This window comes from Homo sapiens, chromosome 3 (genome assembly GCF_000001405.40).
Source record: "Homo sapiens chromosome 3, GRCh38.p14 Primary Assembly".
NCBI classification, from domain to species: domain Eukaryota; kingdom Metazoa; phylum Chordata; class Mammalia; order Primates; family Hominidae; genus Homo; species Homo sapiens.
This window is the reverse complement of record NC_000003.12, coordinates 149,600,192-149,620,641: the sequence shown is the minus strand read 5'-3', so window position 1 is coordinate 149,620,641 and position 20,450 is coordinate 149,600,192. Positions and strand designations below refer to the sequence as shown.

The following is a 20,450-nucleotide window of genomic DNA, read 5'->3' as shown; positions in this document are numbered from 1 at the left end:
TGTGGAGTAGATAAGATACTCTATGTTGTTTTAAAGAAGTCTTTTACAAAGAAGATGAGTGTGTGTGTGTGGGGGGGAGCGGTGGAGGAGGGGTGCAGAAGAACATATGAGATCCAGCTCCCCAGAGGATCTTCCTTAAGGCACTTGGAACTAAGTTTGAAGGCACTGCCCACAAATTCTCTCCTTCATCAAGACTTGTCAATCCAGCTAAGCTCTGTGGTCACACCTACTGTCATCTTAGAAGATGAATTCTGTGGTTGCCTCAATTTAATGGCTGACCAAAGAGGTTCCAAAAAGATCCAGTTAGATCCTCAGGTCTCATATCATGGAGGTTGGGGTGTCCATGACCTCTGTTTATGCTCTGTGTGCCACGCTTCCCTTTATGGGTTCTTTATCTAAAAAATAAAGAAACTGAGTTGTCTGAAACCCTCTTTGGAGGAGGCAATCTGGTGTAGTGGTTAAGAATATGGATTCTGTAGTCAGAATGTTTGGGTTTTGCAACATCTCTAAACTGAGATGATACGAAAACACCTACCCAACAAAGCTGTTTCTAGGATTTAAGAAAGCGTTTTTCTATAAGAGTGCTATAAGATGGAGCCCAGGACCAAAATACATCAAAGCGTGTAGATGTTAAATGGAGCTAAGTCCCAAATTGGGTGACTAAAGGAAGGTGTAATGATGGAATCCTGGGTGCTTCTAATGGACCACCAATTTGGAAAACAAAATTTAGAAATCGATCTGTGAGATCCTGAGAGAACGAGACCATTGATATAATATGATCTCCAGTTTCAGCCTGTGCGAGGATTAACCAGCAACCCAAGAAGGCAATATTACTGGGGCCACCACATTTTTGGGCAAGAAAGGTAAACTGTGTCCCTTGGCAGTCAGTTCAAGCCTAAACCTAAAGTAGTAGGCTTGAACAAAATTACCTTTGTTGTGCTCTAATAAAAATAAACAGAGTGTGGAGATTGAAGAAATCATCAACCAGTGCTATATACCTGTTTGTTTGTTTGTTTTTGGTGACAGGATCTTACTCTGTCACCCAGGCTGGAATACAGTGGTGTGATCATAGCTTACTGTAACCTGGAACTCCTAGGCTCAAGTGATACTCCCGCCTCAGCCTCCTGAGTAGCTGGGACTGCAGGAGCATGCCACTATGCCTGGCTAATTTTTAAATTCTTTTGGTAGAGATAGGATTTCACTATGTTGCCCAGGCTGGTCTTGAACTCCTGGCCTCAAGCAATCCTCTCACCTTGGCGTCTCAAAGTGTTGTGATTACAGGTGTGAGTCACTAATCTGGCCTGGTTCCTTTTTTAATAATACTACTGACAAACACTGCCTCGTAGAAACTCCTGTCAGCGTGAAGAGTTGGAAGGGGAGGGGAACAGTGCTATTTTTCTTCTTCAAGAAGTTTCAGGGGGCTCCTCATAGGATTGCCTTCAGGAGTGTCCATACTCCCTGCCTCTCTGGCTGTTTCTTATCAGCTAAATGGTACAACCTCCAAGAGGTGTGACTGATGGTGAATTTCATCTCTTTCTGAAAGGTGCCATGAAAACATGCAAGGCTATTCCTCTCTGCCATTGTTTCTGTCTGTCTCTCAGCAGGATAAGGTCATGACAGAATGGCACGTTTATCTTGGATTTCCTTGTTTGGCAAGCAGCCTGGATATCTCTGGGTTGAACGTCTCTGGGTATCTCACAGACGTCAATGGGTTGAAGGAGATGTTGGCTCTTGCACTGATTCTTTCAGAAGCCCAGGAGGTGGTGGGGAGGGGGGAGGAGAAGAGGGGACAGGATTGTACTTGTCGTGTCACTGCCCTCTCAGTTGGAGCTTCCTTTACCTTTCCAGGCTCCTACAGCGTGGAGAGGCAGCCTAGTATAATGCAAGGCACAGAGACTTTATGTCTAAATAGAGCTGTGTTCAAGTCTCGACTCTGCCTATTTTAAGGTTTTTCTCCTATATACTCCTCAAAACCCCTGTACTTATTCTTCGATGATATTTTTTCACATCTGACATTACATCTTTCTCTCTCTCTTTTTCTGCATTTGTCTGTAAGCTTTAGATATGTGGGGACCACATCTTTTTCATAGCTATTAGATTGTTAAACAGTTTCTGGAGCTTGGCTTACTGAGCTTCAAACGCTGGCTGTGTGACATTGGGTAAGCTCTCTAGCCTCTTGCCTGCCTTGGGTGGTGTTGTCAGGATTAGAGATAAATACATGTTGTATCGCTGGCACCAAGACCAGCACAGATGGATGCTCGAGAGATGTTGTTCTCCTTACCTCAAGCTTGGTACCAGCGCCTCAGTGTCTGCTGACCCCACCAGCATGCCCGGATGTATCTGTTGGCTGCAAGACATTGTAGACCCAGGCTTGTAGCCAGCCTGGGCAGGCAGCTTGTTGGCTCAAGGAGTCCTTCGTACTGTTCTTCAGTCCTTCGAATGTCTTATTCTCAGACGCTCTTCTGAGAGGACATGCCTGCAAAGAGCACAGGCTTTATCTTTGGAATCTCTTGTTTCAGTCCATCCCTAAGAAATTGACAGTAGCCTTTAAAAAGTAACCCTTAAAAGTTATTTCAAAAGTAATTATAGTTCTTTGTTAATTAAGGGGGAAAAATCTCCCATAGTCTATCATTTGTATATCTACTGTTTGCTTTGGTATACATCCTTCCAGATTTTTCTATGTGCATGTACTATAATAACGTTGTTTTCTTTTAGCCAATGGTGGAATATTCTGCATTTTATTTTTGTATCCATAGGAGGGATTTTTCAGAGTCCATGAATAATATTGGACTCTGAATATTGGTATGATTTATGGAACTTTATTTTATTTTACTTTATTTTGAGACAGAGTTTTGCTCTGTTTCCCAGGCTGGGGTGCAGTGATGCAATCCCTGCTCACTGTTAACCTCCACCTCCCGGGTTCAAGTGATTCTCCTGCCTCAGCCTCCCAAGTAGCTGGGACTACAGGCATGTACCACCATGCCCAGCTAATTTTCATATTTTTAGTGAAGACAGGATTTCACCATGTTGGCCAGACTGGTCTCGAACTTGTGACCTCAGGTAATCCCCCTGCCTTGGCATCCCAAAGTGCTGGGATTATAGGCATGAGCCACTGCGCCTGGCCTGATTTATGGAATTTTAAAAGGTTCCAAATCCTTTGTTAGAATGAGGCCAGTTAGAAATAATGAAAAGTGGCTAATCCGTGGAAAGCCATAAGCCTCTAGTGGTTTTGAACTTGAAGAAGCACAGCAAAGCACACACACTGTGTGTGCATTGACTTATCCACATGCTACTACATAAGCCTGGAGAGAGATGGGGACAGAAGGAAAGAGAAGACGGATTGCACACTGCTCCAATCCAATTGCCCTGGAGTGAGAGTGAGATGAGATGAAAGTTCGTTTTTCCTTCTGCTCATCATGGTCCCCAGGAGACCCTCAAATTGTGACCACCTTGTCATGGCACAAGGTGGCTCCTAAATGGAAACCAGCTATCTTCTCAGCTATCTGTTCCAAAGCGGGAGGTAAAACTGGGTGTGCTGGTTTTAATTAAGAGATAGCATGTCTAAAAATGGCACATAAACTTAATATGCAGTTAGGAGATTTTCAGGGACATTTTTTTTCTACATTAGTTTCGCATTTTCTTGGTGACTTTAGAAACTAACCCCCTTATTAGACTCTCTGGCCTATGCACATAAAGCAACATTTACTCCCTCCCTCCCTCCTTCTTACTTTTTCTTCCACTTTAAGCTTCTAGTTTGTGCTGGGACTGCGGGATGTAGTAATGAATAAGTACATGGCCTTTGTCCTAAATAACTTAGGTTCAGTTTTAGAAAGAAATCTGAAAATGACTTCTCATAATACCTGGCAGAATGAAAGAAATTTATTAAAAGAGAGGACAGCAGGCCAGGTGCAATGGCTCATGCCTGTAATCCCAGCACTTTGGGAGGCTGAGGCGGGCAGATCACCTGAGGTTGGGAGTTGGAGACCAGCCTGACCAACATGGAGAAACCTTGTCTCTACTAAAAATACAAAATTAGCCAGGTGTGGTGGCACGTCCCTGTAATCCCAGCTACTCAGGAGGCTGAGGCAGGAGAATTGCTTGAACCTGGGAGGCAGAGGTTGCGGTGAGCCGAGATCATGCCATTGCACTCCAGCCTGGGCAACAAGAGTGAAACTCCACCTCGGAAAAAAAAAAAAAGAGAGAGAGAGAGAGGACAGCCATTTTATTAGGAAAGTACAGAGGAAGAAATACGTAGTTCTAGCCAGGGGATTTCATTACATGGGATTACAGAGAAGGGTGTTCCCTGAACTGAATTTTTAAAGATAGGGTCAAATTTTCATAGGCAGAAAGAAAGGGTGGGAAGCGGACATTCTCAATTAAGGGGAAAAATGAGATCTTATGGAAGCTTTAAAGCCTGAGACATTTGAGGGAACAGAATTTGAGAATTGAGTCTGCGATGAGACAGGAAAAGCCCACAGGCAGTAAAAAATGCCGGTGGCTGAGTGCAGTGTAGCTTCCACTGAACTCTGTGGATGTTTATGCTTATTTGAACCTTGTTGGAATATTCCTGGTTTGTTTTATGAAGGGATGTCTCTCACTGAGGATATTGACTCAGGGACGTTTCCTCTTTCAGTCAGGATGGCCTCCATCAGACCAATATTGTTCTCAGGCCATTTTTTTGTTTTGTTATCTTGGATAAACAGAGAGAGGCTGATTCATTTTTCTAGAAAAACAGGATGCACTAAAATACTGCAAGTGACAATGAAACAGACATGCTCACGTACAATAATATTTATAAAGGGACCAAACAATATATGTAGCAGACACCTCTGTGGTGTGGCCGCTACCCCTCCTCCATCTCACTTGCCTTGAGTCCTTGGCCAAGTGGGTTGTTTCTTTCGATCTGTTTCCTCAGATATCAAATGAGACCAATAATACCAACTGAACAGGCATGTCTCAAGGAATTGATGAGTATCAAGTGCTAGAAATAGTGCTGGGCACGTAGTAAGTAGCCATTCCAATAGAGCTTAATTATTTGTGCACTGGGTACGAAATACTGATTCGTAATTGGAGCAATATATATTCACAATGATTTTTTTAAAACTTTGTATTATGGAAATATTCAAATATCCATAAGAGAACAGTATGATAATTTCCCACGTACCTACCATCCCTCCACTTCAGCAATCGTCCACATTCTGCCATTCTTATTCATTGATCCCCTTCCTCTTTTAGAAATGTTTTAAATTTGTAATGGTTAACTGCTACCTAAATTATTTTAAAGCAAATTCTGGAGAGCATATAATTTTGTGTATAGAGAGTTTTTAAGAGTCTGATAAATCAGTGACCAAAGAAGAAATCCTTATAAAAAAATGGTTGAAACCAGTGTTTTGAATGCAATTTTCAGAGCTGAATTATAGGTATTTCTGCAACCAAATTAGGACATGTCTGCAAATCTTTAAGAGTGGCATTTTGAAAGTTCAGTATTGTTTATTTCATTTAAGGAGCATGCCACATGCTGGTCTGCACATAGATTAGCACTTAGGTGCATATGCAAAACACTTTTTTCTAATGGAAGATTTAAAACATACCTCAATACTAGTAGACTAGTATAATGTACCCCCCTGTAACCATCACCTAAGCTATCTTTTTTTTTTTGAGACAGAGTTTTGCTCTTGTCTCCCAGGCTGGAGTACAATGGCGCCATCTCAGCTCACTGTAAACTCCACCTCCCTGGTTCAAGTGATTCTCCTGCCTCAGCCTCCCGAGTAGCTGGGACTACAGGTGCATGCCACCATACCCGGCTAATTTTTGTATTATTAGTAGAGACAGGGTTTCACCATGTTGGCCAGGCTGGTCTCGAACTCCTGACCTCAAGTGATCCACTCACCTCGGCTTCCCAAAGTACTGGGATTACAGGCGTGAGCCACCATGCTCACCCTAAGCTATCGTTCTGATGTCTCCTTTTGAAAGATGTTCATATTGTTTGTAAGAGACTTCTTAGGTCAAAAGAGCCTTAATGATTTTGGAGGAAGATGTAGAATCAAACATTTATATTACACTACATGAAAAGAAATTCTTATTCATCAGTGCTATTGCCTTTGAAAAGTACAGTCAGTACTGCTTGATGTGGGTATGTTCTGAGAAGGGCATCATTAGATGTTTTCATCATTTTGTGAACATCATAGAAAGTATAGTCTACTACACATATAGGCTATATGCATAGCCTATTGCTCCTAAGCTACAAAAACTGTACAGTATGTTACTGTACTGAATACTGTAGGTATTCAATGGTACAGTGGTACAAATACAATGGTAAGTATTTGTGTATCTAAACATAGAGAAAGGTAATGTGTTGTGCCACGACATTTCCACAGCTACGATGTTGCCAGGCAGTAGGAGTTATTTAGCTCCATCATGATCTTATGGGCCCACTGTTGAATGTACCATCTGTTGTTGACCCAAAAGTCATGCTGCACATGACTGTGTGTCAGTAATAGCTCTCAGAGGAACTGATTTTCCCAGATGAAATATAAGTAAAATCTGATGTTTGAAAGCAGTTCAAGCAAGACCCCTCAAAAGACATTTAAGCAAGAACACATTTGGAAGCCAGTACTGAAGTGTTAGTAATGGATAGGGAAGTTATGTATTTTCTCTTCTTTCTTTTTTCCATTCATCTTTCTCTCTCTCTCATTTTTGTTTATCTGCATTTTACAATTTTTTTTTTCACCGTGAGTGTGGATTTTCTTTCACCATGAACATGGATTATTTGATTGTTGAAAAATAACAAAAGCCCAGCTGGGTGTAGTGGCTCACACCACTAATACCAGCACTTTGAAAGGTGGAGGCAGGCAGGTCGCTTGAGTCCAAGATTTCGAGACCAGCCTGGGCAACAGTGAGACCTCATTTCTACAAAAAATTAAAAAATTAGCTGGGTATGGTGGTATGTGCCTGTAGTTTCAACTATTTGGGAGGCTGAGGTGGGAGGATCACTTGAACTCAGGGAGGGTCGAGGCTGCAGTGAGCCAAGATTGTGCCAGTGCACTCCACCCTGGGCAACAGAGTGAGACCCTGCCAAAAATAAAAATAAAAAAGTAACAAAAGAATATAAGTTAGTAAATCAAAGAAGAGATGCCGGGAGTGGAGATTGGCTGTATTGAGATGAGTATGTCAGGGGCAGATAGATAATGTTTCTGAACCAGCAAGCTTTTACCCTTCATCTTGCTGCTTGTCTTTAACCCTTTCCTTGGTCCCTGGGTCTTGCCTCTGCATTCTCATTACTGATGGTAGGGAGTGGTACTCATCTTCATGACATAATCTCATTAGGCCAAGAGAGAGGATAATTGGCCATAGTTCCTAGGCCAGTCCCCTAAGCTGTGTTAGGCTTTCATATATGATTCTGTCTGGTCCTGTGCCTTTACATTTCCTGGTCTTGCCTTCTGAGACTGCCCAGGTTTTAAGAGGTGGGTGTTGGGAAAGGCTAGGAGATGGTGGATGCTGGAAGACAAAACACTAGCAGAGTGTAGTCTCTCCCCTTATGATCCTGAAAGTATAAAAAGCCATCTCTGCTCTGCTGCCAGCCTACCCACCTGCACTTTGGAAGAAGAGCTGTTGGATATTTCAGAATGGTTTTCAGACTGGCATTGGAACCGTGTTCTAAAGTTAACGATGATGGAAATAATTTAGTTGTAGAGGACTCTAGACAGGCTTGTGTAAAGCAAGCAGGTAAAGGAATAAAACATTAAAAATTGTGTAGGAAGAGATGTTTTGAGGTATCAGTGTAGGTGGATTGTGAGTGGAGTGACATGGGGAGGGAGTTAAGAGGAGACGATGTTCATGGTTAAAGAAACCATTTATACAGACGTGACGAGTGCAGGAATTCTGATCTCTCATATGACAAATGCTGAGAATAACTCCTATTTTCCATGCTAATTGCTAATTTACTCATCACATTGAATATCCTGCTGGTGGAAAAATTCAGTGTTGCAGCCTCATATCCTCCTGCATAGGAAGTACTCAGTGACCCAAGATGTTAGAGTCTCTTTTATGGCACTTCCCTGAAAAGAAAATATTATTACTTAATTGGCAGGCAACAGGGGCTTTTAAGGGACTCATCCGAACACCACCTGTTTACTTACAAGTACAAAGGACAGGAAAATTAATTACAAATGATACCTTTCTCTTAAGGGTTCTAGGTTTCCAGTGCAAAATAATGATGATCCAACTGCCAAAGTATATACTGGTAGGTGGAGTTTTTTTTTTTTTCTTTTCCCCTCCTATAATGGATTAAGTTAATCTGTGAGAACGTTTACCCAATGCCCATTGTAACAAAATTATGTGAATTGACCAGATTTCATTAAGTATAAAATGAATGTACCTCGAACTTGGTCTTTGATGTGGATTTTGAGCTACTATCAGGCCACAGTTCAGGTATAGCAAGGATATGCCCCAAAAAAGCATTCCTGTTTGATTATTTGGTGTTTGATTATCAGAATTTCTGGTCTAGAATACAGTCCAGGTGGTAACCTTTCCAATATGAGTGTCTTCCTAAGGTGGGTCATGAGATGGGTTGGAGAATCCAGGGTTCTAAGCCAGTCTCTTGCCCCTGACGCCATATGGGACATGAGGTGAGTTGCCCAGTTTTTATCATTTGTCAAGTAGGAATAGTAATGTCTGATGTGATTGAGGATTAAATGTAAGTCTAGGCAATAATGTAAATAGAAGTGTTTTTGAAATTAAACTGACATGCAAACTTTTGATTGATCACAGTAATCAATCAGTGAACAAACATATTTGTGAGCTATGGAATTAGCCATAAATGTGAAGGAAGCTAGAGAAAAGGGGAATGACATTTCCAGTAAGCTAGCAAACACTCTGGAGCTATGTTATTAACTGTTAAACCATGTAGTCTGGGTAGGTATCATTAGCCACTTTGCCACAACTCCCCACCTCATATCCTGTACCCCATTCAAATTCAGTCCTTTCATTGCTCAGACTCATCTCGCCTTGGCCATTCTGCCCCTCACAATATGATTTTCCCATTTCTGCCTTTTGAAACGTTGAGTAATCAAAACTTAGATCAAATGTCAGTTCTTTCATATAGTCTTCTCTGATTACTCCAGTTGGATTGATCCCTCTCTGGCCTATGTCAGGGATAGGCAAACTTTCTGAAAGAGTCCAGATTGTTTTTTGGCTTTGCCAGACACATGGTCTCTGTTGCTTCCACTCAACTGTGCCATTGTAATGTGAAAGCATCTGTAGACAATACATAGATAAGTGAGTGTGGCCATATTCCAATAAAACTTTATTCACAGAAACAAGCTGCCAGCTAGACTTGGCCTGCAGGCTGTAGTTAGCTGACCCCTGGCATGGGTCATTGTCTTGCTACGCAGCTTTCTTGGTTCTGCGTACATTTTGCCTTAACCTGCATGTTAGTGGCCTTCTTTTTAAAAAAAAAGTTTTTAAAAACTTTTACTATTATTCTTATTTTTAAAGATGAGGTCTTGCTGTCACCCAGGCTGGAGCAGTGGTGCAATCATAGCTTACTGCAGCCTTGAATTCCTGGGGTCAATCTATCTTCCCACCTCAGCCTCCTGAGTAGCTGGGATCACAGGCATATGAACCACCATGCCCAGCTAATTTAAAAAAAATTTTTTTTTTTTGTACAGATGGGGTCTTGGTTCACTGCCCAAGCTGGTCTCAAACTCCTGACTTCAAGCGATCCTCCCACCTTGGCCTCCCAAAGTGTTGGGATTACAGGTGTGAGCCACTGTGCCTGGACAGTAAGGCTTCTTATGAACAGCAGTGTCCAGGCTGTTTTCTTCTTTTGAGTCCCCCGGATGTTGTATAAATAGGAGAGTGTTCAGTTGATGTTTGACAAATGAGTGAACAGTGAATGAATGGTGGCTGCTTTCAGAAGTTGGCAACCCTGCTGTCCTTCTGGATGGCTGAGCTCTTCCAGCCTTCTGGCGTCCTGCCTCCTTTCCCTGGCCTGCCCTGCTAGAAAGAGAGGAGAGAAGGCATCTTTTCTCTGTCTTCCTCAGCCACCCTTCCACTTCTTTGAGCAACTACTATTTACAACTCAAAGAATTCTTTATTTATACTGTGTGAGAGACTGTTTACCCGTGTTGAACTAACATTAGGTTTCTTTAAATCTGCTATTAAAACGAAGAGTGGCCATTTGTAACTTTAGGAGCATAAGAGCTGGGTTCATGATGTAAGTGAACAGAGACACCCTTAAAGTTATTTCCCAAGGCCCTGGGAATGCGATTTTCTTAGTTTATTTGTTACAAGGGAGTGTTTTGTACATTGGTAGAGGAAAATACTATGAAACAAAATCAAACAAAAACATCATTACATTTTAAAATCATTTTGCAACACTGAGCAGGTATGAATTTGGTACTTTGCTTGTAATTGGAAAACTGGAAAGTTGAAAATTTAAGTATGGATATTATGATTTTCAATTTTTAGAAGATGTATAGTATATAATGGCAGTTTGCATTTGATGTTAGAAAGAATAGCATCTCAAGGGAAAACAAAAATGCTTTCCGTTCCAGAAAATGTTAAACATTCCTTTTTTTCTTAGGATAAACTCACTACTAGCTACTTTTCTTCTGCCTGAGCCCTTCATTGTAAAAGTGAATTAATGTTGTCCTCTGAATTCTGTTGGGGAAAATGACACAGAACCCCTGTGAATGAAGAATTGCTTTTAATTTCACTGGACGTGAGGCAGAGGAGGACCTTGGAAAAGGAAGGTTATTATTTCCTCTGTGGAAACGTTTATCTTCGTTTTCTGGGTGACTGGTAAAAACAATAGTTTGCTGTGGAGTTTCAGTAATCAAAGAAGAGGAAATAGCATGTGAGTGACTGCAAGTTGGTGGGGACAACCCTGGCTCTTTTGAAGGTGAAACTTACTAAAGCCACATTAGCTATCTCCTAGTGCAAAGGTCGAGAAACATTTTCTGTAAAGGGCTAGAGGTAAATAGTTTAGACTTCATGGGCCATAAAGTCCCTGTTGTAAATTTTCAGCTCTGCTGTTGTGGTATGAGAGCAGCCATAGACAGTTTTAGAAACAAATGAGAGTAGCTGTGTTCCAATACAACTGTATTTATGGACACAAAAATTTGAATTTTCATATGTCACAAAATAGTATTATTTTAATTTGTTACAATTATTTAAAAATGTAAAAACCATTCTTAGATTCCCTGTTGTACAAAAACAGGTAGTGGGTAGGATTTGGGTGCAGGGCATAGTTTGCTGACCCTATCCTGGTGAACTAGCGCAATAATTTCTTAGGTGGGGAGGTGTAGTGGATAACACATTACACATTCTGTACCTTTTAGTAGGTAATCCGATTATGATTAGCTAACCCAAACTTGTGAAGAAAATTTCCTGGTGGAGTTGGATGGCTTTGAGGAGTCCAGTGTTCTTGTCCCTGCCCTGTTAGTGTAAAGCTGAATGGCACTTTGGACCTTGGCTGCCCATCTGGTACATGATGAAGTTGGACTAGATGACTTCTAGGGCTTCGTGTAGAGCTTAACATTTTATTTTAATTAATTAATTAGGTTTTTTTTGAGACAAGGTCTCACTTTGCTACCCAGGCAGGAGGGCAATGGTGTGATCAGGGCTCACTGCTACCTCTACCTCCAAGGCTCCAGCAATCTTCCCACCTCAGCCTCCTGAGTGGCTGGGACTACAGGCACATGCCACCACAGCTCACTAATTTTTGTATTATTTCTATTTTTTTTCTTTTGTAAAGACAGGGTTTTGCCATGTTGCCCAGGCTGGTCTCAAACTCCTGGGCTCAAGCAGTCCTCCTGCTTTGGCCTCCCAAAGTGCTGAGATTATAGCGCGTGAGCCACTTGACTGATCTTAACGTTTTAGACCCTTTATCACTTGTGTTTTGGTTCTTCTTCTGATAATTATTGCAATTTACCTTTTAAAAAATTATTTAGGCCTGGCGTGGTGACTCACACCTGTAATCCTAGCACTTTGGGAGGCCAAGGCAGGCGGACCACTTGAGGTCAGGAGTTCGAAACCAGCCTGGCCAGTATGGTGAAACCCCCATCTCTACTAAAAATACAAAAAAATTAGCCAGGCGTGGTGGCACATGCCTGTAGTCCTAGCTACTTGGGAGGCTGAGGCAGGAAAATGGCTTGAACCCAGGAGATGGAGGTTGCAGTGAGCCAAGATCATGCCACTGCACTCCATCCTGGGTGACAGAGCAAGACTCCATCTCAAAAAAAAAAAAAAATTTAGATATTTGTTGAGAAACTAATATGTGCTAACTGTGCAGGCTCTGGTGATGGTGGTTGTGTGTGTGTGCACATTTGTGTGTGTGCATGTGTGTGAAACAGATGGTAGGGTAGTTACAATACAAAAATGTACATATTAGTATTCTAAATAAATTTTTTTTCTATTTTGTGCAGTCTTTCTTGAAGTTATAAAAACAATATAATGGGCAATTAGGCATTTACACTATTTTTATTAAAAATAATAAATGTATATGAATAATTATACTCAGAATTCAACAATATCAGATATTGATTTTTGCAGTTACTTTAGTTATTCATTTATTTATTCATTCATGTAACAAATAGTTCTTGAGTACCTACCATGTACTTCAAGGCACTGGCTTAGGCCTTGAAGACTAAACTATTTGCCCTCACGAAACTTGCATTCTAATGGAATCTCCTGTTGAAGATGCTAGGTAGATGGTTTTATTCGTACTTTTCAGAGGAGGTGTACTTATTCATTACTTATTTTTCTTTTTTTGTTTCAGTTATCTCTTGGGAAATCTCTGAGTAATGTTTTTGAATTACCAGAGGAAATTTTACAGTCACACAGGTCTTTGTTGACTTTTGCAGTCGCCTAAAGTTGTTAATCATTGAAGAGAACTCTGATTCCTCACTGACAAAGAATGAATTCTATCGTTTTAGTTATATTAGTTAATTTGGAAAGTACTTCAATCAATTTAAAACTTTAGGGAAGATCAATTCAGTAAGTTCTTTAGAAAATCACTACGTCAAGGCTGGGTGCAGTGGCTCACACCTGTAATCCCAGCACTTTGGGAGGCCGAGGCGGGCGGATCACGAGGTGAGGAGATCGAGACCATCCTGGCTAACATGGTGAAACCCTGTCTCTACTAAAAATACAAAAATTTACCCGGGCATTGCGGCGTGTGCCTGTAGTCCCAGCTACTCAGGAGGCTGAGGCAGGAGAATGGCGTGAATCCAGGAGGTGGAGGTTGCAGTGAGCCAATATCACGCTACTGCACTCCAACCTGGGCAACAGAGTGAAACTCTGTCTCAAAAAAAGAAAAGAACTATGTCAAATTCTCAAAGGTCACTGAAGTTAACCCGTGTTATCAGTCTTCTAAGCAGCATTAGTGGATTTATATTTATGTTACACATTTCTCCTCATAAAAAAAGATTTCACATGCATTTATTCAATGAATACTAAAAAAGATGAATATTTCAAAAAGTAAAAGCAACTGAAAATAGTAATATCTGTTAAAACTGCGTCATGGCTTTGCCTTGATATCATGAGTTTTGTCTGCTTTTATGAGGGTGGCATTTTTGGGCTTTACAAATAAAAAAATACCATTGTAATAGTAGTATTATAACCGTAACCAATAGTCCAACAATAGCGAAAGCATTCACTGTGTATCACTCCCCTCCAGGCCACCCCGGCTTTGCTCTGCTTCTAGTCAGAGTGGATGCCTCGCAGTTCTTTTTGAATAAAGTTAAATCTGACTTCAGGTCTTTCACACACACATTTGCCGCCCTTTGGAATCTCTTCCTTCTCTGCCTTTATCATCTAGTTAATTCCTGGTAAGTCTCAACTTGAAAGGTCTTCTCTTTATGGAAGCTTTCCCTGAGTTTTATGTGGACTGAAGTTTCCCCTGTTAGCATCCTTACTTCTTCTGAGCAACTGTAATTGTTTATGTCATTATCTGACAAGAAGCTGGATGAAGGCGGAGTGTGTATTGCCCATCACTCTATTCTCAGCACTTGGTTTGAATGAGCCTATAAGTGGTATTTTACCCACCCCTCACAAAAGAAGCTATATCAATATAAGCTATTATTCGTGTAATTTAGTGAGAAATACTGATGTTTCCTCACCCCATAGTTTTGTGTATCTTTTGTAGACCTCAGTGTTTCATGACCTATATATTATAATGTTTACTGACTAGATTTGGTCAGTTACTATTTGAGGAAATGCTGGGATTTCTTAGAAATTTTAATGATAAAAGAATGCATAGGGCCAGAATGTTTGAAACCAAGACTGCCTTAGAGAAACCCAGGGCATATAGCAGACACATTTTTGACCTGAAACGCTTAAAGCGGAATGGGACAGGAAAATACATATGCATGAAATAATTAGTATGTTTCTCAGTCTGTCCAGGCTACTATAACAAAAATACCATAAACTAGGTGGCTCAGGAAACAACAAACATTTATTTCTCACAGTTCTGGTAGCTAGGAAGTACAAGATCAAGACACCAGCAGATGTGGTGTCTTATGAGGGCCTATTCCTCATAGATCATGCCTTCTACCCGAGTCATCATATGGTAGAAGGGATAAACAAGCTCTCTCTGGCCTCTTTCATGAGGGCCTTAATCCCATTCCATGTGGGCTCTGCCCCCATGATCTAACTACCTTCCAAAGGCCCCATGTTGGGAGGTTATATTTCAACATATGAATTTGGTGGGGACACAGACATTCACACCATAGCAGTATGCCACCTGTGACAGTACCTGTTTGTCTTTATAGCTGTGTTCTCTTGTTTCTCCAGTATCTCAGTGGTATTGGACAGGATATTAGATTCAGGAGAGGACTTCAGAATGTTAACTAGTGGTAAGAAAGCAGCTTCATGGGGTGGCTGGGGCTTGAGGGAGTCTGTAACTCGGGACCACATTTTAGTAACTAGAGAAAATGTTTCAGCAACTGTATGGTGATAAGTCCCTAGTCTAAATCTCTAGCACAAATCTTTCTTTTGAGTGCTGGATACCCTATTCTTTTGCCCATTAAACACGTCTACTTGCATGCGCCACAGTCACCTCAAAGGCAACATGTCCAAAGCAAATTCATTATCTCACTCTCGAACTTGCTCCTTCTCCGTTGTTATGGAACTCAGTAACCACATTGCTCAAATTACTGCCTCACCCATTATTTCTTCCTCACCTATCACATCCAGTCCTCCAAGTTCTCTCAGTCCCGCCTCATACATTTCCTCCATAACCTGCTCCCTTGTCTATGTTTTCTAGTGTAGGTCACTACACTAGAAAGGTCATCCTTTGCTTGTGCTCCTGCAATAGTCTTCTAACTGGTCTCCTACCTGGTAGCTGGTCTTACTCTCCTCTGATCCACTCTCATGCTGTGGCCAAAGTGATTTTCTAAAAAGACAGATGTCTTAATTATGCATGTGCTTTGAAGCTCCTCGTTTGGCATTTAGGATAAAGTTCAAATGCCTTAGCTTATGAGAGGCCCTGTGACCAGGTCTCCACTCTCCAACCATATTGATGATCTTACAGTTTCTCCTGTGTATTGTGCTGTCTCCGGCCTCTGGACCTTTAGTGCTGCTCCTTCTGTCTAAATTACTTGTTTTCTCAATTAGTGACCCTTCCCTCCTTCAGTGCACAGGCTTGGAAGCCTATCCATGAATCTCACTACCCTGAAATCCAAGGGATAAGGTGACCATGAACCTCAGCACCTCAAGCCTTCCATTGACATTTCCCTCCTTTGCTCCATGGGTAAGAATGCAGAACGTATGGCTTCAGCTTCTGTGTGGGCCTTTCTCTATGCCTGGTTTTTCCTGGCACCTGTCCTCCCACCTGCCTTCTGGCCTGCCAGTGTGTCTGATCTGAGCAGACTGGGAGGGTGTGAAGAAGGGCCAGTACCGCTTCAGCAGGAAGGGCAGCACACGGAAGGCCAGCAGCCTTGGGCTGGCCTGCATCTGCCCCTCACATACCCTACAGAGAAACACTGAGCAGCTGGTCAGCATGTGGGCTGGGAGGAATGGGGCTGGGCTAGGGGACTAGGGATTAAGGCAGCCCTTGTAGCAGCAACTGTGACACAAGGAGCACCTGGCCCTCCTGGAAGTCCCAGGGCTCTTTCTTTGACCTCCTTCCTTCACTTCCTGCATTTTCTAAATTGTAGCTAAAATTTGAGATAGAACCCTAAGAGTAAAACCTGGCCCTGCTAGCATTGATTTCCTGAGATTAACTTCTCTTTTAGCTAAGGAGCATCTCTGGATGATGAGTAGAGATGGAAGCCAAGTCATGTGCCCTTAAAGTCCTGTGCAAGCTCCTTCCCGGGATGTGGTGGGGTGTGCATGCAGTGAGCTGTGAGGGGGTGGCCCTGTCACAGGGAATGAGGCCTCAGCCATTGTCTGGCAGTGTTGGCAGTGTGATTTTAAGCCAGTTATTTAACTTCTAGGTCTCAGGTCCTTAGCCTATAAAGTTGGGATAATACTTATCTTACAGGGTTGGAGCATGAAATAAATATTAAGAGAATCAAAAGCAAAAATGCTTTGCATATTATGTAATATGAAACTATTTTTCATGTACTACTACTTATAGTATTACTACTATTTATGGAGTTTAAAAAGTTTCTGTGTTTTGAATATATTTAATGAACTCAGTCTTTCTAATTATCTGTATGTATCATGAATACAACATAAAATCTATGACCGTGGCAAAATACTATCACTGACCTTAGATGTGGCCAATGTGTTCTTGACTGAGATCTGTACAGCTTCACATGCTTTTTTTTTTTTTTTTTTTTGGTATGCCGCTTATGTAGCACCAGTAGAGGATTTTTTTTTCATTGACATTATCTTATATTCCCCTCATTATTAGGAGAAAATGTCAGTTGATTTTCTGCGTTACTAAGGACATGAACAAAGAAAACTGTGTAACACAAAACTTTCTGTGTGGAATAGAGAAATTTAATCACTGTCATGATTTCATCAGTGGGGCAGTTCACAGCTTTAGGGCATGCCAATGAGCTGTATCACTTCAGAGTTAACCAAAGAAAGAAATGTAATGGGGGATGGAGAATGTAATTAGAGTGGAGTACAAGGGGGGGGTGGGGAACCTTTGTAACTAAATTATTAGCATTATCATGAAGAAACTGTCTTTTGAATTGTTTTTAAGCTAAAGAAATCATAAAGCAGTGTTTTTATGTGACTATGTAATTCCCCTTGTATTTGAGGTTAATATGCTGCAAATTCTTCATAAATCTTCATTAAGATGTCAAAATTCCTTGTGAAGCCTGTCTTCATTTGCATTCCCTTGTACAGTTATTAACAAAGACCCTTTATGTCTCTGCCCAGCTTGATTTCAGTCATGAACTCCATTTTCCTTTTATTATTTCATAGAATCTGGTTCCTTGATTGAACTTAGTAAATCATTTCTTGAGGACTTGGTGGGAAGCCAGAGAGTGGTAGTGAGGGGGGCAGTTTATGAGCCCAGGGTGGGTGGAGACCCTTGTTCCTCAAAGCAAGACATTATTAACTTTAGAGTCTCCTCTTATCAGATCTTAAAAATTCTTGCCCAAAGTTAATAGTTTTTGAAGTTTGCAAATAGATTTCTACAGTTGAAACCTAGAGTAGAAAGAAGCCTGGTTATTTATTTATTTATTTATTTATTTATCTTTGGCTTTAAAATTAGGCTTTTCTGGCCGGGCACAGTGGCTCATGCCTATCATCTCAGCACTTTGGGAGGCCCAGGCAAGCGGATCACTTGAGGTCAGGAGTTCGAGACCAGCCTGGCCAACATGGTGAAACCCCGTCTCTACTGTAAATACAAAAATTAGCTGGGTGTGGTGATGCTGTAATCCCAGCAACTCGGGAGGCTGAGGCAGGAGAATCTCTTGAAACTGGACAGCAGAGGTTGCAGTGAGCCGAGATCGTGCCACTGCACTCCAGTCTGGGCAACAGAGTGAGACTCCGTCTCAAAAAAAAGTTGGGGGGGAAGCCTTTTCTCACCAATTGAGTGTCAGTGTGGCCAGTGTAAACAAGGATGAAAATAGCTATTTGAGGGGTTTGGTGGCCACTTTAAAGTTGTGTCAGGGCAATGATCAACACTAGAGTTTCAGTTCCTGTTGAGATCTGTGCTCTCTACCTTTCAGTCTGTGAGACTGAGTCGGAATGTCCCCAAGTATTTAGGACCCTGTGACTGCTGGAATTTCAGGGTTGCTCAGGGTCCAGAGTGAAAAGAACGCTGCTGCCAATAACGCCTTCCCATCTTGGGTTGCCTTTGTTCACATAGCTTTGCTTATTCTTTAATCCAAATCATCAGCTCATTCCAAAATAGTTGCTAGCAAAAATACATGTGAATGCTCATTCAAGAATATAAAGGATATTAAAATATCCTCTTATATCATGACTCTGCAGACGGAAAATTCTACCTGAACTTTGCCTTTGGTTTTCTTAACATTTCCTCTTAGCCCTACGTAGATACATTTTTCTCCTGTGGGGGAAAATTTATTGTTTCCTCATTTTCCCCCAGCATTATTTGAGTGTCTGCAAATGCATATTGGTAGTTTTTCTAGTAGGACCTGGTTTGTGGTTGTTAATGGTAAATGTGAAAATTAGATGTAGTCCAGGCTCAAAAGGAGTTTAAAATCTGATAGAAATAAGACTTTCCACAACCACTAGTGTGGCAAAATCTCTGTGGGTAAATGTAACTTCAAGCATAATGTACCCATCTCTCACATTTTGCTCAAGTTGAATTTCTTCCGTTCTGAGGCAGCCACTCCCTCTGTACCATATGATTACATGGCTTGCTTACTTGCTGTACTGCCTTTAGCATTGTCGGTTGGGTGTTTTAAACCTGCACGTTTTATTTCTCAAGTAGACCGGAGGATCCTTAAAAGGTAGCCAAAGAATAGAATTATATAATATTTTAAAAAGTAAAAAAAAAAAATAATTTTTTTCATATTCTGGGTCATTGTAGCTTTGTTTACAAGGACTTTACATGTTGAAGAATTGGAGGATGTATTAGTTTTGGGTTTTTTAGGTTGGTTTTTAGAGAAGTATTAGGAAGTTCCCAAGGGGATTGACCTTGTAGTTTCAAGAAAAGGAGAAATGGTCATGCCTGGGCATTTTTGGGTGCTTTGTTTGAAATATGCATCCACTTGGCTGGGTGTGGTGCCTCATGCCTATAATCCCAGCATTTTGGGAGGCTGAGGCAGGTGGATCACTTGAGGTTAGGAGTTCCAGACCAGCCTGGCCAACACAGTGAAGCCCCCTCTTTACTAAAAATACAATAATTAGCCAGGTATGGGGGCTCACCTGTGTCACCTGTGGTCCCAGATACTCAGGAGGCTGAAGCACTAGTATTGCTTGAACCTGGGAGGCAGAGGTTGCAGTGAGCTGAGATGGCTCCATTGCACTCCAGCCTGGGCAACAGAGTGAGACTCTGTCTCAAAAAGAAAGAAAAACTATAAAAAATTATAAAATATGCATCTACCTCTTGAAATTGATACATTTTTGAATTTGGAAATGTTGAATAATTAGAGCCTGAGCATAGGTCTATGTTTTGCTAAGATAATGTACTTGGGAGGGTGGTTAAAATAGTCATTAATTTTGGTCACAAATTTAAACAGAGCTTGCTTGACAGGGACAGCTTCTCTCTGTTTCATGCAGTGTCATTTGGAGTGGCTTGACTGGGGGACAAGGGATTAATTTTCAAGGGGGCTCACCCACATGACTAGCAAGTTGGTGTTGACTGTCAGCCAGGCAACATTTTCTTTCCAAGTGGGTCTCTCTACAAAATGCATGAGCTTCCTTATGGCATGGTGGCTGGGTTCCAAGAGTGAGCATTCCATGAAACAGAAAGTAGGAGCCATGAGTTGGTGCCGGAAACTGGTACATCATATTTACCATATTCTATTGGTCAAGCAGTTGATAATGTGAATTTTAAATAGGAAATTTTATGACTCATGGAAAGACTTTATTTGGATTTCATTTAATGTATCAAATGGGTACCCCAGGGTGGCTATTGCCTTGAGGAAGGTGCTTTATTTCCACTAATGTATAAAGGAAGGTGCCAGGCCCATGAGGTACAACTAATGCTTATTATCAATTTTATTTTATTCTTCCCCTTCAGGTGAGTGGAGTGAGTGTCAAGGACAGAGGACTGAGGTCCCAGCTTGAGGTGCTTGGAGGGACAGAGAAGAATCAGGGTGAGGAAGCTGTCAGGCTCCTCTTTTCCCTTTTGGCCCTGTGACTTTATTAGCTTAACTAATACTTCATAGTGTTTGCTATGTACCAGGCACTTTACATATATTAACTCAATTATATTCCCATCGGGGACTGTGTTACAGGTAGAATCTTAATTAAAGCTACTGCTACTGATTCTTAATAATGGCATTACTTGAAGAGATTATTATTAATAGGCCCTTGCCCCATTTGATTACACTGTGTGATATACAGTTGTCCCT

General features: G+C 41.4%; 1 protein-coding gene across 9 annotated transcripts in view, besides 1 other annotated feature; it reads left to right on the top strand.

Annotated features, from left to right (window-relative positions):
• Positions 1-20,450, top strand: part of WWTR1 (WW domain containing transcription regulator 1) — a 207,554-nt gene that overhangs the window by 104,147 nt on the left and 82,957 nt on the right. The gene's annotated exons all lie outside the window — the stretch shown is intronic.
• Positions 15,330-16,020: an enhancer, noted in NCBI's record as "H3K4me1 hESC enhancer chr3:149322409-149323099 (GRCh37/hg19 assembly coordinates)". NCBI's record gives its function as "activates a minimal SCP1, AML or CMV promoter by ChIP-STARR-seq in naive H9 embryonic stem cells {active_cell/tissue: H9 hESC(naive)}" and the evidence as "EXISTENCE:reporter gene assay evidence [ECO:0000049][PMID:30033119]".